At 50.2% G+C, this 20629-nt stretch overlaps 2 protein-coding genes and 1 long non-coding RNA gene across 7 annotated transcripts in view, besides 2 other annotated features; 2 read left to right on the forward strand and 1 right to left on the reverse strand.

The window, feature by feature from the left end:
• The first annotated feature begins 209 nt into the window (after positions 1 to 209).
• On the forward strand, positions 210 to 12406 carry C2orf72 (chromosome 2 open reading frame 72). Of its 2 annotated transcripts, none has more exons than NM_001144994.2 (3): positions 210 to 886; positions 3983 to 4096; positions 9569 to 12406. In NM_001144994.2, the coding sequence occupies exons 1-3, from the start codon at positions 253 to 255 to the stop codon at positions 9706 to 9708; spliced, it is 888 nt and encodes a 295-aa protein (NP_001138466.1). In that variant the 5' UTR covers positions 210 to 252; the 3' UTR covers positions 9709 to 12406. The 2 variants fall into 2 exon arrangements, with proteins under 2 accessions (NP_001138466.1, XP_047299832.1); XM_047443876.1 differs by having other exon boundaries at positions 9546 to 11625.
• Positions 11563 to 20433, reverse strand: LOC112268432 (uncharacterized). Its single transcript, XR_002959456.2, has 2 exons — positions 20024 to 20433; positions 11563 to 16646 (listed from the first exon to the last, which is right to left on the reverse strand). It is a non-coding gene; the product is annotated as an uncharacterized LOC112268432 (long non-coding RNA).
• Positions 15550 to 15609: an enhancer, noted in NCBI's record as "active region_17274". NCBI's record gives its function as "activates an Ori minimal core promoter by ATAC-STARR-seq in GM12878 lymphoblastoid cells {active_cell/tissue: GM12878}" and the evidence as "EXISTENCE:reporter gene assay evidence [ECO:0000049][PMID:35858748]".
• Positions 19455 to 19644: a silencer, noted in NCBI's record as "silent region_12423". NCBI's record gives its function as "represses an Ori minimal core promoter by ATAC-STARR-seq in GM12878 lymphoblastoid cells {active_cell/tissue: GM12878}" and the evidence as "EXISTENCE:reporter gene assay evidence [ECO:0000049][PMID:35858748]".
• PSMD1 (proteasome 26S subunit, non-ATPase 1) overlaps positions 19554 to 20629 on the forward strand; it is a 115961-nt gene continuing 114885 nt past the window's right edge. For all 4 annotated transcript variants that reach the window (NR_034059.2, NM_002807.4, NM_001191037.2 and 1 more), the window contains exon 1: positions 19554 to 19728. Coding sequence is in view for 3 of the 4 variants with exons in the window: in NM_002807.4 (NP_002798.2) it covers positions 19713 to 19728 (16 nt within the window). In the remaining variant the exon portion in view is untranslated. The remainder of the gene's footprint in view (positions 19729 to 20629) is intronic.

Raw genomic sequence — 20629 nt, forward strand, 5'->3', positions numbered from 1 at the left:
CGTCTGCGCAGGGACTTCGGGAGGAGCCACCCTTGGAGGGCTGAGGAGAAAGCCCTCTTCCTCCCACCCGGGCCCGCGATGCGGGCTGCGCCCAGGGGCGCGTGCACACAGAGGCCCCGCCCGGGGGCCCGGGGGTCCGGCTGGGCTCGGCCCTCGGGGGCGTGTCCTCTGTGCCGGGGCGCCACCGCCCCGAGAGGCGGGCAGCGGGTGCGCCCGGGCCGCGGCGGCCGCAGAGGGCGGGCGGCGGCCAGCATGGAGCGCGAGCTGGAGGCGCTGGCGGCCCGGCTTGCGCGCCCTGCCGAGCCGCCCTTCCAGGCGTTGGTGGAAGCGGCGGGGGGCCGCGGGCAGGTGCTGCTGGTGGGCGAGCTGTGGGAGCGCGAACAGAGCCGCGCGCTGCTGCGGGACTTCGCACGGGCGGTGTTCCCGCCGGAGCCAGGCGCGGCCAAGCCGGGCGGCGCGGCGGCAGAGGGCGCGGGGCCCGGGGCGGCGCGCGGGGCGCAGAGGGCGGCGAGGGCGGCTGGGGCGGCGGGGGCGGCGGCGGCGGCGGCGCGCGCCATCCGCTCGCCGCTGGTCTTCGTGCTGTGCCGCGCGTCGTCGCTGGCCGCCCGGGAGCCGCGGCGCCGCCTGCGGGAGATGCTGCGGGACGTGCGCGGCCGGCGGCGGGCCGGGGCGGCGCTGGTCGGGGTGCTGGTGGCCGAGGCCGGGCCAGAGGACGCGGTGGCGCCGGGGCTGCGGCTGCTGGAGGCGCTGTTGCGCGCCGTGTTCGGCCGCCAGGCGGGGGGGCCCGTGCAGGCGGCCGCCTACTGCCCCGGCCTCCCGGCCTCCTGCCTGGCCGTCCAGGCGGCCGCCTGCAGGGCCCTGCAAGCCGCCGGAGCCGGGCAACCAGGTGAGACTGCGCGGGGCCCGGCTGGGCGCGGGCGGGCGGTGGCTCGGGCACGTCCCCCAAGTTGGACCCCTTTGGCCATTCCCTTATTGAGCACCGAGGTAAACTGAGGCTCAGAGCAGGGAGGTGCCTAGAGCCAGGCCTCGCAGCTAGCGGAGAGCGGGCCGTGCGTAGCGGATCGAGTCTGTCCCGGAAGGGTCCGGAGTGCACGGGAGATGCCTAGGGGGCGTGGGAAAGCTGAGGGGCCGAGTAGAAGGCAGAGGGAGTGGGTAGAGAGAAGGGATGAATCGGGCAAGGCCGAGATCTAGGAGTTACGGGGTGGGTGGGGGTGGGGAGAGAAGAGGAGTGGGGAAGGAAATGGGAAAGCCTTGGGATGGGAAAGTTTCAAGGGGGTGGATGGGTGCTAAGGAGATTGGCGGTGCCAGAAGCTAAATTCTAGGGCGCTGCGCAGCCAGAGATGCGTCGGGAGCTCTAGGAGGGGCGGAGGGGCATCTCCAGCGCGGTGGAGGCTCGTCCTGGAAGCCCTGCCTGGTTTTAGGAAGAGGGCAAGGAATGGGTGCTCGGGACTTGACGTGTGGGGAGGTGAGAGGGACTAAGAGTACATTTTCTATTGATTTCTGGCCACCCACCAAGGCTGTGCACCCAACTGCTGTGTCCCTCAGCCTCCCCCAGGTCTGCTGAGGCCACCTTTTCCCTCCACATTCTCCTGAAAGGTGGAAGGGATTTAAGGGTCTTTTCCCAGCCCCCGTGACTGCTGCCATCAGCAGAAGGGTCAGGATCTCCTTCCTCCTGGAACACAAGGCTTTACAGGAACTCTCCAATGTTCTAGGATGAAAATATGCACATTAAGAGTAGCTGCATCTGGCTATCGCAAGGACAAAAAACCAAACACAGCATGTTCTCACTCGTAGGTGGGAATTGAATAATGAGAACACATGGACACAGGAAGGGGAACATCACACACCAGGGACTGTTGTGGCGTAGGGGGAGGGAGGAGGGATAGCATTAGGAGATATACCTAATGCTAAATGACGAGTTAATGGGTGCAGCACACTAACATGGCATATGTATACATATGTAACAAACCCGCACGTTGTGCACATGTACCCTAAAACTTAAAGTATTAAAAAAAAAAAAAAAAAAGAGTAGCTGCATCTGGCAAACCCGGGAGATCTTTGCACTCTCCAGCTCCCAGCTTTCTCTCCCTGCCCAGCTGGGCAGCCCTTCAAGCCCTCCAGCCCCTTCCTCTTAAGTAGATAATGAAGAAAGTGGCTGTATTGTGTGTCTCCTGGAGTATTGGCGTTGGTTGGGGGGCGGAGGGTCCCAGCAAGGAGACCTGTCACCTGTGATGCTGCCAATGTCACATTCACCTGCCAGCCTGGCCTGCCTGGGCGAGCGCGCCTGCCCTAACCCTCCTCCCTTAGGGTGCAATCCATTTTTTTGTTGAGGCTGTGATTGTTCTGATTTTTGTTTCAACCCCTTTGCTGACCAGGCCTCCAATAGAAAGAAGGGAATTCACACACATTTTCTATACCCTAATGAGTGCATGCATTTTTTTTTTTTTTAGATGAAGTCTCTCTTTGTTGCCCAGGCTGGAGTGCAATGATGCGATCTCTGCTCACTGCAACCTCTGCCTCCCAGTCTCAAGCAATTCTTCTGCCTCAGCCTCCCAAGTAGCTAGGACTACAGGCGTCTGCCACCACACCCAGCTAATTTTTGTTTTTTTGGTAGAGACGGGGTTTCGCCATATTGACCAGGCTAGTCTCGAACTCCTGACCTCAAGTGATCCACCCACTTTGGCCTCCCAAAGTGCTGGGATTACAGGCATGAACTACCACGCCCTGTCCCTCCTAAGCTTTTTGTAGACACATTGCTGTTGCCTGAGCCTGAAGAGCCTTTTCTCCTCCCTCCTCCTCACCTGGCCAATCCCATTTGTGCATTCAGAACTGGACTTCCTCCTCCGGGAAGCCTCCCTTGACCTTCCCTGCTCCCACTTGCAAGTTCACTGGCGAAATCCCAGAACCCTTTATCCCTTTGCTCTCTGAGCTCTTACCACATGATTTCGTTCCCTTGTGAACATGATTTTGTTCCCTTGTGGGTTTAAACACCATCTGCAGTCCCATTTCCTGATACCCTGCCTGGCATGCAGACAGAGTGAATGAATCCTCCCTTCCTTTTAAATAAACACTAATACTTTTGAGATTTTAACACTTTGCAAGGGAATTGTTCTCTATGTTAAGCGCTTTCCTACTTTTATAAAAACATACTGAACAAAATTAAACCTCTCGCAAATGACTAAAGGTCGTGAGTGGAATTATAACTTATAGCCCACTGATTTCTTTGCAGCTTTTGCAGTGGGCAGAACTATTATCTTCACACCAAATGGATTCATGTCACTAAGATTTCGCTAGTGGTTGGATCTGTTTTTTTAAAGTTTTCCAATTTCTTTCCTCACCGTCTGATGATAATTCTTATTCTAGGTTGCTTGCCTTTTGGCAGTGCCCTTTTACCCAGTTCGTGGTACCTAATCCAGCTGCCTTTGGGTTGAAAAACTAAGGATACAGTCTCTTTACCTTTGGGTGCGGGTTAAGAGTAAATTGGTCCTGAATAAAGATTATGAACAAGGATTTTCCTTGTTTTGGTTGCCTGAAGTCTTTTAAAAATAAATAAATAAATAAAATAAACAACCTAGTTCCTGTTGACTTTATAGATTACTAAAAAATGTATCTATTCCTGCCAAGAAATAGTTTGAACTAAAATCAGAGGGAACGTGCAGCTCTTTGAGTATTTTGTTTGGTGCTATGTAATTGTAATTAATTTCATGTCATTTTCATTGCTTTATTTCCTCAACATGGTACCTACATCACAGGGCTTTTGTAAGAATTAAATGAGATAACATAGATAAAAGTAAAGCAATCATTTTTAAAGTTCGGTTTTAAAAACCCACCCACTTTTGCAAATCAGACTCTGTGTTTTTAATCAGACAGTTGAAACTAGGGCAGTTGACCGTTGGGGCACTTGATTTGCTAAACGAAATCTCTCAGTCTTGTGAAGTGGGAACCATGTGACCCTCTGACTCAGGTTTTGTGTTCTTCCTAGTGGAAGGAGCCTGGGAGAGGCCAGGCCTCCCCGGACTGCTAGCCTGCTTTTCCTGGGGTCCCTGGAGCCGGAGGAAGAACCAGGATGTTGCTGCCTGCAGAAGCTCAGCTCAGGGTGAGTGCTCCCCGACCTCCTGCATCCTGAGGGCCAGGTGCATGGAATTATGGGAGTGGTCACGTGAACTTGGGGACCTTAGGGACAGAGTGGACCAACATCTATGGAGTGCTTGCCATGTGCCAGGTGTGGGGATGAGCAATGTGAGGTGCCCATATGCCAGGCAGTGGGCACATGGGCTCGGTCAGGCTGGGCTCTTTCCCCAGGAGTCTCCACCTAATGAAGGCAGTATGGGGAGGGCTGTAACAAAGGTGTCTCCAGGAGCATGGTGGGGTGCATGGGACGTGCATGGGACCAAACACAGCAAGTCTCCCTGGAGGGTCCAGGGAGTATCCTAGAGCAAGTGATATTTGATCCGGGGATGGAGGGATTTTCGTAGGCAGAAATGGGAAGTTTTGGAAAAGGAGCACTGAGCTAAGGAGTGACAGCATGATGTCATGCTCAGAAAAGGGACCACCTTCGAGAGGCCCTGGGAGTGAGGTGCAGAAGGAAACCAGTGAGGGCCAAGGCTGAAGGGAAGAGTTTGGACCAAATCAGTGTCCCAGATGTGCAGCCTTCAGGAGTAGTGTGCCATGAGCGATTTCTGAGCAGAGAGATTGGGGTGTGTTTAGAGAGATGGACTCTAGGAGAGGGAGACACCTCGGCAGAGCCCACCTAGGAGGAGGCTGTCGTGTCCCAGGAGGGATAACAGGCGGCCTGGGCCCGACCTGGGCAGTGGGAATGGAGGGGAGAAAACTCACCCGGAGCCACTCCTAGGTGGAATCATCAGGCCACTAAATGGAAATGAGGGAGAAGGGGAAGGGGAAGACACCCCTCCATGTCAATGCTGATGTTAGAGAGATAGGAAGCGCACTGATCCCCCCCTTATCCACGTGAGATGCTTTAAGACACCTGTGGATGCCTAAAACCATGGGTAGCACCAAGCCCTACGTATACACTGTGTTTTTTACTGTACATATATACCTACGATAAAGCTTAATTTATAAACTAGGCACAGTTAAGACATTTAACAATATATAACAAAAGTTACAGGAATGAGGTATCTCTCTGAAAATATCTTATTGGACTGTACCGCAGGTAACTGAAACTGCGGATAGTGACGCCATGGATGGGGGTGGCTACAGTACTCGGAAGCATGGTGTAGCCTGCTGAATGCACACAGCCCATCCCAAAGTGCACTGAGAAGTATAGCTTTGTTACAGAAACAATGGATGGTGGTTCAAAATTAACTTTCATTGTGTCTCTCATTTAAGAAAGAAAACCATTAGTTGATGTGTCAGTCTTCATTGCTGCATAAGAAATGATCGCAAGTAGGTTGGGCATGGTGACTCATGCCTGTAATCCCAGCACTTTGGGAGGCCAAGGTGGGCAGATGACCTGAGGTCAGGAGTTCAAGCCCAGCCTGACCAACATGGTGAAACTCTATCTCTACTAAAAATACAAAATTAGCCGGGTGTGGTGGCACATGCCTGTAATCCCAGCTACTTGGGAGGCTGAGGCAGAAGAACTGCTTGGACCCCGGAGGTGGAGGTTGCAGTGAGCCAAGGTTGTGCCATTGCACTCCAGCCTAGGCAACAAGAGTGAAACTCCGTCTCAAAATAAATAAATAAATAAATAATCACAAGCTTAGCAGCTTCAAAGGCATTGATTAGGTGTCTGACTTCTTGCTGGCTGTCAGCTGGGGCTGCTCTCAGCTCCAAGAGGCCCCTGCCATTCCTTGCTCTCACAAGCCCTCTCACAAGAGATCCTCCTTCAATCAGCAGGAGAACCCCGCTCTCCAGTCTGCTAGGAGGGAGTCCACATAACCTAAGGAGTCAAGGTAGTCACTAGCCATTGCATTTGTCAGAGAGACAACCTACTCCCCAGAGTGACTAAGCTATCACATTCACAGAGCCCATCCAGACTCAAGGAAGGGCTTTATAAGGGGCCAGAATCTTGGGGGCTGTCTTAGAATTCTGCCTGTCATGTTTGAAAACTCAAAAAAAAGTACAAAAAAAAAAAAGAAAGAAAACAAATGTGAAACATCATTCACTTAATTCCATCATTCAGAGATAACTACAATTATATTTTGGGGTACGCCATTCTATTTACCTATCTCTCCTTGTGCTCTTTAAAATTTAATAAACTCACTTCTATATCATCTTCAAAATGCAGTAGATATTTAAAATGTTTAATTGCAAAAATGCTAACTTCAACCTCTCCACCATCATTTTGGATATACTTGGAAACTAAAGGAGAAAAGATGAAGCAACAGAATCATTAACCATTTTACATAAATCTTGGATAATTTCTCTCTCTGTGGTATGTACAAATCTCATATAGAAGTGAATGTATTAAAATGCAAATGGCATTTATGGACTATGTACACACATTGATAGCATATGATAAATATAGGATATCATAATTACATGCATTTATACAATCATGAGTTGCTTAATGACAGGGATATACATTCTGAAAAATACATCTTTAGGGGATTTTTGTTGTGTGAACACGATAGAGTGTACTTAGAAACCTGGATGGTATAACCTACTACATGCCTATGCTATGCGGCATAGCCTATCGTTCCTAGGCTACAAACCTGTACAGCAGGTTACTGTCCTGAATATTGTGGGCAACTGTAACACAATGGTAAGTAGCTGTGTGTCTCAACATACCTAAACATAGTAAAGGTGCAGTAAAAATATGCTATAAAAGATCAAAAAATGGTACATCTGCATAGGACACTTACCATGAATGAAGTTTTCAAGGCTGGAAGTTGCTCTGGGTGAGTCAGCGAGTGAGTGGTGAGTGAATGGGAAGACCTAGGACATTGCTGTGCACTACTGTCGACTATATAAACGCAGTACACTTAGGCTACACTACATTTATTTTAAAATATTTCTTTCTTCAATAATAAATTAACCTTAGCTTACTGTAACTTTTTTACTTTATAAGCTTTTTGATTTTTTGGCCAGGCATGATGGCGCGTGCCTGTAGACCCTGCTACTCCAGAGGCTGAGGCAGGAGGATGGCTCGGGCCCAAGAGTTCGAGGCTACAGTGATCCGTACTCCTGCCATTGCACTGCAGCCTGCACACCATAGTGAGACTGTCTCAAAACAAACAAACAGACAAACAAAAACCACCTTTTTAAATTATTAAAAGCTTTTTCACTCTTTTGTAGTAATACTTGGCTTAAAACACAAAATATTGTAGAAATGTACAAAAATATTTTCTTTCTTTATATCCTTATTTAGTAGGCTTTTTCCTATTTTAATTTTTTTTTTTTTTTTTTTTTTGCTAAAAACTAAGACACAAACATGCGCCTTAGCCTACACCTACACACAAGGTCAGGATCATCAGTATCACTGTCTTCTGCTTCCACATCTTGTCCCACTGGAAGGTCTTCAGGGACAATAACACACATGGAGCTGTCACCTCCTATGATAAACAATGCCTTCTTCTGGATACCTCTTGAAGGGCTTGCCTGAGGCAGTTTTACAATTAACTATATATATATATAAACTTTATATACGTGTGTGTGTATATATATCTTTATATATATATATATATACACACACACACACATATAAGTAGAGGGAGTACACTCTAAAATAATGTTAAAACATATAGTAGGCCGAGGCTGGCGGATCACCTGAAGTCAGGAGTTCCAGACCAGCCTGGCCCACATGGTGAAACCCCATCTCTACTAAAAATACAAAAATTAGCCAGGGCGTGGTGGCACACGCCTGTAATCTCAGCTACTCGGGAGGCTGAGGCAGGAGAACTGCTTGAACCTGGGAGGCGGAGGTTGCAGTGGGCAGAGATTTCGCCAGTGCACTCCAGCCTGGGCAACAGAGCAAGACTCCATCTCAAAAAATAATAATAATTTTATATATATAGAGAGAGAGAGAGACAGTACAGTAACATAGTCATTTCTTATTATTATCAAGTATTGTCTACTGTATATAATTGTATGTACTAGACTTTTACATGACTGGCAGCGAGTTAGGTTGTTTCCACCAGCATTGCCACAAACATGTGAGTAATGCATTGCACTGCAACATCAGGACAACTACAAGGTTACTAGGTGACAGGAATTTTTTAGCTGTGTTTCAATCTTTTTTTTTTTTTTTTTTTTTTTTTGAGACAGAGTCTAGCTCTGTCACCCAGGCTGCACTGTGCAGTGGCACGTCTTGGCTCACTGCAAGCCCCGCCTCCCAGGTTCACGCCATTCTCCTGCCTCAGCCTCCCAGGTAGCTGGGACTACAGGCTCCCGCCACCACGCCCAGCTAATTTTTTGTATTTTTAGTAGAGACGGGGTTTCACCATGTTAGACAGGATGGTCTCGATCTCCTGACCTCGTGATCTGTCCGCCTTGACCTCCCAAAGTGCTGGGATTACAGGCGTGAGCCACGGCGCCCGGCCAGCTGTGTTTCAGTCTTATGGGACCACTCTCTTATTAAGGTTCGTAATTGACCAAAATGTCATTATGTTGCACGTGACTGTACTTACTGTTTTGGAATCTGCTTTCTTCATCAATAACATACTATAACTGCCTTCCACAGCAATAATTATATGTCAACAACATATTTTCTTTTTTGAGGTAATTCTAAATTAACATGCAGTGGCAAGAAATCATACAGAAATCCCAGCACTTTGCGAGGCCGAGGCAGGGGGATAGCTTGAGCTCAGGAGTTCAAGACCAGCATGAGTGACATAGTGAGACCCTGTCTCAAAAAACAAAAAGGGAGATCACCCAGAGAGATCCTGTGTATACTTTGCCCAGTTTCCCCCAATGGTAACATTTTGCAAAACTATAGTGCAATAGCACAAACGGGATATTGACACTGACGTAATCCACAGATCTTATTCGGATTTCCCCAATTTTACTTCTATGCAGTGTGTGTGTGTGTGTGTGTGTGTGTGTGTGTGTGTGTGTGTGTGTGTTTAGGTCTGTGGAATTTTATATATTGTCTTTAATACCTGAATCCCATTATATGTGTGAGCCATAGTTCACTCAACCAGTCCCATTGTTGGACATGGAATCGGGACACTTTCAACTGCAAGTAAAGATACCATGACACACATGAGCACAAGCAGTAAGAGAAATCATTATCTCACCTAAAAGACAGTCCAGAGATGGAGTCGGCTTCAGAGTTGGTTGATTCAGGGGCTCAGGGACCCCACCAAACACCCAGGTTTGCTCTTTCTCTCTGTTGGGCCATCTTCAGTGTCAGTTTCATCCTTAGGCTGGTAGCAAGATAGCTCCAGCAGTTCCACTAATTATTCCTAATTATTTTCTTAGGATAAAATCCTAGAAGTGAAATTTGTGGGTCAAAGGGTGTGTACATCGTTAAGGTTTTTGATATGTATTTTGTTTTGTTTTTTAAGTAGGTATTTGCTGGGGACAACTTTCTCCTTTTCCTTCCTAGATAACTCACTCACAACCTTTCTCTTCTGATTCAGTGATTTCTTCTCCTGTGTTCCAGAAGACTTCCAGGAACCTGAGGAGGAGCTGCCACTAACAGCCATATTTCCCAATGGAGACTGTGATGACCTTGGAAGGGGGTCAAAAGCCTGTGATGGAGTCGTACACACTCCTGCTGAGCCCACCGGAGACTCAAGATGAAGGCTGGACCCTTGCGCTGTCCCTGGCTCTAACCTACAGACTGGGGCCTGGCTCCGTCTTACTGGCCCCCAGGTCTCCATGGAGACTGCAGAAACCCCCGCCTGCTGGAGGCCTGCCACACTCACAGTTACCAGCTAGACAGTGGGGCTTACTAAGACAAGCAGGACCTAAAACAGTGTCTCCCCTGGGAACCTACTCCCCACCCAGCATTTGCTAAGTCTGATCACAGGGAGGTTATTTTGTCTCTCTGTCTCGGTTTCTCTGAGCCACTGAGACAGATGGCTGTCCGCTTTGAGGCTCTGCAGAGCTGTGGCACCCCATGGTGTGTCTGCAGTGTTCTGGGCACATGCATGGGCACCCATCGTTGAGAGTGCAGCTGGGAAGAACTCTGAACCAGAAGTCATCAGAGCTGAGGCATGGCCTTGAACATGTCACTCAGTCTCTGGGGCTTCTGTTTCACAAATGCATGAGGGGGCCACCAGCCCAGTGGCTTTAAACCAGGGGCAGGTTGTCCCTCCAGGCAGCATTGGAAATGTGTGTGTGTTGAGGGGGTCACAGTGACTGTGGGGGCACCCCTGGCATCTAGTGGGCATCCCACAATGTGCAGAACAGTCTCTGACAGCAAAGAATTGGTCCATTCAATGCCAATTGTAGTACCTTTGAGACATTCTGGCTGAGCCAATGCCTTCTCCCTGTCAGAGTCCCCCAGAGCAGAGAGGGTCAGGCTTCCCTGGACCTTGGCTCCCAGAGCAAGCCAAAATAAAGACTACACTGTTGCCTTGGGGGCTTGTCGGGCCAGGGCCAAGACGGTCTGCGTGCTGCAGGGCCAGGACAGAAATAGCCACACATGCCGGTGAGAACAAAGAGCCTCTTTCTTTCTCATGTTGACATCGACTTTCTGTGCCAAGTCCTTTGGGTATAAGGATGCTAGGGAATTCCTATAGGCACCAAACAGAAGGAAAGCTAGGGGCTTGGACTACTGGGTATAGGACTTGCTCTAGCTCTCAGGTCCTAGCCCAAGCTCAATGCAAACACAGCCCCTCCGGGCTCTCTGTTTCTGTGAGGTTCTGGAATCCCTTCCTCTGTGTCCGTGAGTCTGACAGAATCGATGATGTTCCCTTAGAGCTGGGAAATCCATGTGTTTATTCACGGAGGGAACTCACCATTACCTCCCTTGTCTTCTTTGCCTGCCTTGGAGAAATCCAGAGTCTTCGGAATGGCAAAGGCAGCTCCTGGATTTCCCTGGAGGGGAGGCACTAGCTGAGGGAAGTAGCTCCCTTCATTCATGATGCACAGTTTACGCAGCAGACACACAACTGCGCCTACTATTTGCTCGGTGCCCTGCAAGGTGCTGCCTAACTTTGATTTGTTATTTCAGCTCTCTCCAGGATAGTGCCAAATGGTGCAATGGGAAACCTGTTTTGCTGGGGGGCTCTAGATCACTGGCTCCAGAACTCCCGGCTGCCAGGGTAGCCCCTACCCCCAGCCCCTTGCTCCTGGACAGCAGTGGGTCTCACCTTTAGCCTCTGCCCCCAGTTCTGGTCTGACCCAACAGAGGGGCTCTATGATATTAAGAAGGGGCCCTTCCTGCTCTGTGCCTCAACCTATTCTCCATAATAGGGAGTCTAATCCTATTCCTTCCCTGCCTGATGAGGATGGTGTGAGGATGAGGAGGACGGCATCTCATTTGGGGCTTTTTGGCAGTGGGCCTCATTTTAATCCTGCAGGGCTGCCTGCCAGTGGATCTATCCAGCTGCTTCCTTGTAGCCAAGAATGAGTTCAATGAATTGTGATTCACTGATTTTATTGATTTTGTTTTAAAACAGGGAGACTGGTATTTTTGAAGCTGCTATCATTTTCTATTTCTTTATTAATTTCTTTGTAATCATCTTATTAAAGTTTTCTTATTTAGTGGGAGAGGGAGCTTTGTTTAAGTTTGGAATTTGCCTAAGGCAGAAGTTATAAGGCTTCATAACCTTTTGTATGTATTGCCAATATTTGAAACTTGGGAGATTACGTATAAAAAATACCTAGTTTTCTGGGTGGAGGATGGGGCATGCTGTCATCTCAAGTCTGCTGCGGCTCACCCCCACCACCTTTACCCCCTCCCCCGCCCTTCCCATCCCCCACTGCACTTCACTCATGTAAGACGTCTGCCCGGTGCTGGTCCAGGCGGGCATGTGAGTTTGTAGCCTCTGCTCCAAAGGATGGTTTACACATTATTTTTTCATTACCTTCAGTATTCCTGTGAATGGTTCAAGAGAGAAAGTCTTCATTTACTAAGATTTGGGTTCTGCCTCCCAAGTGACAATACGGGGCTGAGATCCCTCTCAGCTTCTTTGAGATGTGGCCACCATAAGCATCATCGTTGTAGGGACAGTCTCATTGCTGTCTTCTAGCAGACAGAAGAGTTAGGTGCCAGAAAGGACAATCTTGATGGTGGGTCCCCTCCCTGAAGGACTTTAAGAAGGCATAAAGGGGTTGGGGTGGAGGGTGGCGTGTGAAGGAGGAGGCCCTTGATTAGGTCAGTGGTCCCTGGGAGCCATCGGCGAGAGGCCTCCAGCCGGGTGACAGTCTGGGCTCTCGGGTACTAATCTTTCTAATATGGCAGTGGTTGTGGCACTTCTGACTTGAATTGATAATTCTCATATCTAATAAAACCAAGAAGTACCTCGTTGATATCTTATAGAAAACAAAATGGATCTTCTTCATTCTCCTAAGGGGCTCCTTGCAGAGAGACCCTGGAGAGCAGGGAAGCTTGGCAAATGGTGGAAATCTGTGGCCTGAAAGCCTCCCAGCCTCTGCCCTGGGTGACATCTCCCCTGCCGTACCAGCTGGGATTAAAAAACCTGTAGCGAGAAAGCATAAGTATATATTTAAAAAATGATTTTTAAATTTTTGTAGAGACAGGGTCTCACTATGTTGCTCGGGCTGGTTTCAAACTCCTGGGCTCAAGTGATCCTCCCACCTCGGCCTCCCAAAGTGTTGAGGTGACAGGCATGAGCCAATGGCCAGATTTTTGAAAAGACAGCATTCAGCTTAGGATACAATGGTGTGTGTGTGAGCGTGTGAGCACGCACATGCATGTTTAACCAGAGCTAAAATAACCTTAACTGAGTCTCAGAGAATTCTTTCTACTATTTGGGTCACACTTTTTCTCCTCTCCTAGTGTTTGTCTCCAAACCTTAGTGCACAAGAGTCCCTGGGTTGTCAAACCCAAAACTTAAGGCAACCCTGCAAAGGGGCCAGGAGCTGAGTCCCCAAACCTTTGAACTGAACGAGCCCCCCTTACCCTAGCAGAGAACTGTGGATTCAGCCTTGCTGGAGAAGACGAAGGACTGCCTGGTTAACTTGAAAGCAGCCTGTACTTTAAAGTGTAGCAAAGCAAAGCTGCAGGCTTTATTCCCTGGGGTCAGGAGGCCTGGACTTTGTCCTGTTTGTATGGCAAACACAGCCAGCCCAGTGAGTGAGTGCAGGAAGCTGGCTGTTTGTACCCAAGGGCTGCATAACCGCTTCTGACCTGGTTTTGTGTGTTAGTGGATCGAGGATTGGGACAGACGTGGAATTTGGCCTGGGCAGCCTGCCACTTGTGTAACCTTGGAGCTCAGGAAAAAATGAGGTGCAAGGGAGAGGGTGGATAGCCAGGATCCCACATGGACCCTTCAGATGCCTTTGGTCTGAGCCAGAGCCCTCTGGATCCCTTATATTGGGGCTGCCTAATTGGGACTGGAGGCAGAGACGGCCCTCCTGGGACATGCCATGGTTCACACTGTAGTGGGGGCCAGGATGTGGGGTAGCTCAGGTCCAAACCGGGGCTGGGTGCTGAAGCCACTGTGGGGCTGTGGTTTTGGCAAGGGTGAGAACCCTCTCTGGTGTCCTTCCTGGGCTCCCCAGCCCCAGCTGGGGCTCCTGCCACAAATGCAGACCGGGGACTGCCTGTTCTTTGACCAGTGAAATTCAGAGACCCTCAAGGAAGGCTTGAGGGTCTCTGAATTTGCTGTCCTCATCTGCACTTAGAGTAATTGCACTTAAGTTGCTGTCCTCATCTGCACTTAGAGTAATTAGGTGCCTCGCTTAGTCCTGTGACCAAGCCTGATTTTGAGTCGTGGTTACAGAAACTTAGTCTGTGTCTTGTAGCCCTGAGCTCCTCCTCTTCCTCACCAGTTAACAATATCTCAAAGAAGGGTGTTGTCCTGAACCATTACCATAACCCCAGCCTAAGCTCACCCTGACCACCACTGTCCCAGGTATATCACCGGCTCCAGAACTCCTGGCTGCCAGGGCAACCCCCGCCCCCAGCCCCTTGCTCTGGGACAGGAGGGAGTGGGTCTCACCTTTAGCCTCTGCCCCCGGTTCTGGTCTGACCCAGCACATGGCAGCTCCAAAGAGCGGACAAAACCTTGAAGCAAAGCCAAAGGGCCAGGCCTGAATGGGAGGTCAGAGGGAAGAAGGCCCAGGAGAGGGTCTAAGCCAGCCCTGTCTAAGAGGAATCTAACGCAGGCACATAGGTAGCTTTCTATGGTGGCCACATTAGAAAAAAGTAAAAAGAAATAGATAAAATTAATTTTAAGCATACATTTCATTTAGCCCAATATATCTAAAATATCATTTCAACTGTAAATTATCGAGACATTCTGCATTCTGTTTTGCATATTGTCTTTGAATCCCATGAGTTTACACTTAGAGCCCAATTCAGATACTACATTTTCATCAGAAAAACTTGATCTGTATTTAGATTTAATTAAATGTACAGTCGTAAACATTCACATCCTCAAATTGTTTCAGAAATACTGAAAGGTTTTGCAGTTATGGAATTTCTATCTATTTTTAAATTTCAATTAATTAAAGTTAAAGTTTAGAATGCATTTCCTCAGTTGCACTAGCCACATTGCAGCTGCTCAATAGCACTTATGGCTGGTGGCTACTGTATTGGACAGCACCCCTCAAGAACAGGGGAGGCCTCGCGCGGTGGCTCATGCCTGTAATCACAGCACTTTGGGAGGCCAAGACGGGTGGATCACCTGAGGTCAGGAGTTCAACACCAGCTTGGCCAAGATGATGAAACCCCATCTCTACTAAAAATACCAAAATTAGCCGGGCGTGATAGCGGGCACCTGTAGTCCCAGCTACTTGGGAGGCTGAGGCAGAGAATCGCTTGAATCCGGGAGGCAGAGGTTGCAGTGAGCCAAGATTGCGCCACTGCACTCCAGCCTGGGCGACAGAGCGAGACTCCGTATCAAAAACAAACAAAAAACAGGGGAAACAGGTGAGAGGCCTGTCTTGGGGATTCATTGTGATTCCTGCGGCAGTTGCCTCCCCAGACACCCAGAGCTTGCTGGTCATCCCAGACCCTTGGGCAAGGGCAAGACAGCAGCGTCCAGCAGTCGGCTTGTGCAGGGCAGCCTTCCAATTGCCCAAAATATGCGCCCTCCCGGACACCATCCTTGGAAGAGAACCTAGTTCCTTACCGATCCTTTCGTGCCTCAGTCCACCCAGACCAATTCCAGCCTTGGTGAGGCGTTTCCCTCTGACCAAGCACCCACCCATGGGAGGCCCGTGTCACCCGGCTGCGTTTCGCATCTCTGCTCCCATGAATAAATGTATTTACTCTAAAAACGTGTGGCTCGTGTGTTGTACGTGAAACAGCCACCAGCCTCGTGCTGAGTAGCCGTAAAATCTGTGGTGTATTGAGCGGAGCGCTGCGCTGCGTGTCCCGGCGGCCCTGCCAGGTAGGTGGATCCAGCCATCCCTTTCCCTTTGGCGGGAGAGGCTGGGCTCGAGGGACGCCCGCGGCCACAGCGCTGCGCTGCGAAGTGGCAGAGCAGAGATTTGATTCCCGGGCTCCCAGGCTCCACGGGCCTGCCTTTTCCACCTTATCTCCGTGCAGCCCAAGAGGCAGTCGAGCTCGAGTCTTGACGGGAGAACGGAGCCCTTCTAAAACCCGGGGATTTGAATGCCTGCAGGATGCGCGGTGCGCTAGGGGCGGTCACAGCTTCCTCCGGAGCGCCCGCCTCCTAGAAGGCCTTGCGCCCACTAGCGGGCGCCGCGGGGAGATGCTCTGGGCAGCTCGGAAACCACGGTGGCCTCGCCGGGAAAGAGAGCGCCTAACCCAGGGCCAGGCACCGCCACGATTTCCTTCACCCTGACACGGCCCCCAGCCCAGCCGATACCTGTGTGAGGCCACAGCTGACCTCGATTGGGCTTTGAGAAGTTTTGTGTCACTCAACTCTGGAGGGAGGTTGTTTCTAAACCGAGCACATCCTAAGAATTTTTTCCGTGATTTCACTATGTCCTAAAAAATAGAGCTCATTTTAGAGTCTTGGACAGGGCGGGGGTTTCAGAACCGTAGGTCTGAGTTCTAGCCCTGTGCCAATAACTAAATGACCGGGTGTTCATCCGATCATCTGAGAAACGTTTATTGAGCACCTATTACGTGCCCAATACTGTGCTAGTTACTCTAGCGGACAATGAGATGAACTACTCAAGATGTGGCGTTGCTCTTGAGTAGTTCCTTGTCTAGTTGGGACTGGGGCAAGGAGATGTGATGCCAGCTGGGTAGGGTAAAGGCTTTAAGGGAACCCATGGTGGGCTGGGCCAAGAAAGGCTTCCTGGAGGAGGTGCCGCCTGAGACTCAAAACAAGTGGTGTTAGCCTGGAGTGTAGGGGAGCGAGCCTTGACGACAGAGACACGAGCAGGTACAAAGGGCAGTGAAAAGGTACATGGCCACGTGGCCACTCTGGGAGCTTCAGGGGTTCAGGATGGCTGGAGTGTGGCACGCCAGAGCCACACTCCAGCCACATGAAGACAGTCCCACCATCCTGGAGGAGAAAGTCGTGCTCCTGTTGGTTCTGATCATGCTCCTGGCTGGCTGTGAAGAGTGGACTGAAGCCTTCTGGGGCTGTAAGCAGGAAGTCAAGGCTGTAGGAGGCTGTCGTGGTCTGGAAAGAAGAAGGAGAGGCAACTATTGGGTAATGGAGTGAGGATGGGAGAGGTCGGTGTGAGAGATTAAAGAGGAGATCTGGTGCTGACTGTTGTGGGAGAAGAGAACAGTCAGATTTCCGTTGCAGTGGCTGATGGATGTCCTTCACCCACACTGAGGTCAAGGAAGGAAACACACAACTGTGGGACGACAACAGCGTGCACAACTTTGAGGTCACTGAGTTGAAGGAGCCTATGACTCTGCCAAGCAGAGATGCCCAGGAAGTGTGTGAGTCTGTGCTCAGGAGAAAGCGCAGGGCAGTAGAGACACATTTTATGAGCCACCACCTTGTGCACAGCAGCCAATGGCATTTCACTCTTACAGGGGTTGCAGGGAGTGAGAAGAAGGCCATGGACAGAAACACAGAAGAAAGACACATAAAAAAAATAGAATCCAAGATGGGGACTGAAGATTTGAAGGAGCAGAAGTAATCAGAGTTGAGTTTCGAAAAGATTGCTCTGGCTAAAGAATGCAGAATGGACTGGAGAGGGAGAAGCCACAGGCATGGGCCAGTCACTCAGGAGGGAGAACAGAATCCTCCCGGGGGGAGAAGTCTGATGTCTGTGTCCAAGCTACTTACCTTTTGCCCATCTCACAGGTTCACGTGAGGCTCACATGGGGTTGTGGCAATGACACACACAGCATCCAAGTGGAAGACAGGATTGTCCTCTCATACAGAATGACTTCTCCTTGAAGAGCAGAGGTGGCATGTTGACCACCTCTCTGTTTTAAAACATGTTGAATTAGTAGCCAACATGTAAAATTCTGGAGATGTTGCATGAAATTCTGATTTCTGGCTTCTCTTAGAAAAAACATGTCTTCCAACAGTCACCCTGCATTCTTGGCAGGAACTGAGTAGCAGTTGCTCTGTTTAGCAGTTGCTCTCTTTAGATGGGGCACTCACTTTTTTTTTTTTTCTTTTTAGACGGAGTCTCACTCTGTCGCCAGGCTGGAGTGCAATGGTGTGATCTTGGCTCACTGCAACCTCCACCTCCTGGGTTCAAGCGATTCTTCTGCCTCAGCCTTCTGAGTAGCTGGGACTACGAGTGCCCGCCACCACACCTGGCTAATTTTTGTTTTTAGTAGAGACGGGGTTTCATCATGTTGGCCAGGCTTTGGTCTCGAACTCCTGACCTCAGGTGATCCGCCCACCTCGGCCTCCCAAAGTGCTGGGATTACAGGTGTAAGCCACCGCGCCCGGCCAGGAATTCACTCTTCATCACTGTCCCCACCACCCCCTAGTGCCTCCTTGACACTGTTAGTTGCCATTCACCATCCTGTGGAGCTTGTATTTTCTTTCGCTGGTCCTGCTTTACTCATTTTCATTACCTGTTGGCATTTGTTTGTGACTCCTCTAGGGGTTTGGGGAATACAACTGTCTTCATGTGAGGGCTTGGTAGAAGTGCCTCTGTAGAGCCAGGTGCAGTGACTCACATCTTTAATCCCAGCATTTTGGGAGGCCGAGGCGGGCGGATCATGAGGTCAGGAGATCGAGACCATCCTAGCTAACATGGTGAAACCCTGTCTCTACTAAAAATACAAAAATTAGCCGGGTGTGGTGGCATACACCTGTAGTCCCAGCTACTTGGGAGACTGAGCAGGAGAATCGCTTGAACCCAGGAGGCGGAGGTTGCAGTGAGCCGAGATCGCGCCATTGCCCTACAGCCTGGGTGGCAGAGGGACACTCCATCTCAAAAAAAAAAAAAAAGAAGTACCTCTGTAGAATGACACCCCAAGTAATCTGTTTACTTTGCATGCACATCTTCTCGAGCCCTGCCTTTCAATCTGAGCCACAGGCTCTTCAAAAATGTTCAATAATTATATTTAATATATTTTAAACAACCACAGTTTAAGAATTCTAATTTAAACAAAAAAAGTCACAGATACAACAAAATGTGTTATCAAGCACATTTAATTCACTGGCAACCACAAGACATTGATTGTGCCCCTAGGTTACGTAGAAGGCCGTAGAAATGAACTCGCCATCGCTGTGCGATTGAAGAGTTTAGCTTGATAGTGCAAGGCCGGTGGCTGAAAAAAATGCTACCGTTTGCCCTATTCCTTGTCAAGACTTTCTCAGTACTGACTCTTGAAATAAATTGACTTCTTGAAGCTAGCATAAGACTGCAAATGGCCATTGCAACTGCCATTTCAAATTTCTGAAGATGTATTAGAAACGAAGAACCCACTGCCGTCGGGGGAAAGAGGACCTGGGCAGATAGAAGGAAAGAATGGAAGACATTTTTTCTCCCTTGGAAAGGCTTTCGCCATATAACTACTGCACATTTTAATATATTGACAACACTGGACATTTTTCCAAAAGTAAGTAAAAACCTTCATTGTTCAACTTTATAATAAGCCAATGATTACTTGTGGATTCATTATGATAATAAAGCACTTCTATGGGGATTTTCTTTTTTTTATGATAGGTTTTGCTTTAGAAAACAATTGAAAGCCACTTTTCTGGGAAAAAAAACAAAAAACAAAAAAAAACGCTGTTTGCGGCAGCCCCAATTCCCTAAGCATTATCTGGTGGGAGATGTGTTGCAGCGAGACCTCCCACCAGTAGGTGGCACTGCGCGCAATGCTCGCACCTCCCCTCAACACCCTTTCTCTCAGCAATGGCGGGTGATGGTGGGGGTCCTCTCTTTGCAGGGCTGGCCATTCTAATGCCTGACCTCAGGTGCAGACCAGTGTTCCGTTGCGCGGGACTCCTGACCTCGAGGAGGTTTAGAGAAAACAATGGTGTTCTCTGTGTACCCTTCCGCGAGGGCTGGGGAGTATACCGCCGCGCAGAAGACGCAGGCCAGGGGAGAATTCGCGCCGGGCGGCAGGCGGGGTGGCGGGCAGCCCCTGGGCGGGCGGGGTCCTGGCGAGAAGCGAGCCGGCGGCCTGAGGAGGCGACTGACTGAGCAGCGCACCCGGGGAGCAAGGAGGCGCGGTGAACTGAGCGGCCCCTGAGCTGACAGATACACTGCGCAGCTGGAACGGCGAGCGAGCCGACGGGCGAGTGAGGGGCGCAGCCATGATCACCTCGGCCGGTGAGTGCGGCCCGTAGCCAGCGCCTGGAGGGAGGAGCCGCCGCCGCGCCGGCTTTTAGCTGAGTCAGGGCCGGTGACTGGGCGCCTCCCGGCGGAACGCCGGCCTGGGCAGCTTCTTGCTGCCCAGGGCCCACCCCCGGGCCGGGGGGCTGGGAGTCTGATCAGGTCACTGCGTGCTTCTCTGGCTTGAGGGAATCGAGCCGGGTCGACCGCCTCGGCATCCCTCCCCAATCACACCCCAGCGCCAGGACCCGAGGGGCTTCCTGGGCCTTCCCCTGACCCCAGAAGGGCTTACCTTTTTTCTGTGCCTCCCATTCTTGGCCGTGTGAGGTCGTCCAGCCCCAGTTCTTGCCCGCAGGGGGCCGGGGTGGGATGGGCCCCTGTGCCATTGAACAGTAAGGCAAACCCCCCTGATCGGGCAGCCTAACTGCTACAGAAGTGTTTCTGGACGTGGCCGAGCTCCATTCGCCTTAGAATGAAACCCGAAATTAGGTTTGAGGTGGGTCATTTCTGGGTCCGATCCAAGGGTGTTCATTCAAAACACCCAGAGAACTTTTGGGTTCGGCGAAGACCCTAAAGACGCCCTGGAGATACCTTTATACTGAGAGCCTACTTATACCCTTTCGAGGTTATGTGCTCAGTCTGTTGACTGTACATTCAAGAAAGAATGGATGGATCTGCGGAGCAGGTTTCATACGCGCAAACCATTGCATAGGTAGATTCACGTAGTGACATTTGCAATGGAGTAAGTTACAGAGATCAAGTTTCAATTGGAGACTTAAGCTCCCCGTTACAGATTGACTTGCATATAGCTGTCCAGAGCCTTGGTGCTTTTTTCCGTTGCCTATTTACATACCCTTTTCTCATTTTCTTACTCTGTGTTTGACCCACAAAGAAAGCA

Source organism: Homo sapiens, chromosome 2 (assembly GCF_000001405.40).
Source record: "Homo sapiens chromosome 2, GRCh38.p14 Primary Assembly".
NCBI classification, from domain to species: domain Eukaryota; kingdom Metazoa; phylum Chordata; class Mammalia; order Primates; family Hominidae; genus Homo; species Homo sapiens.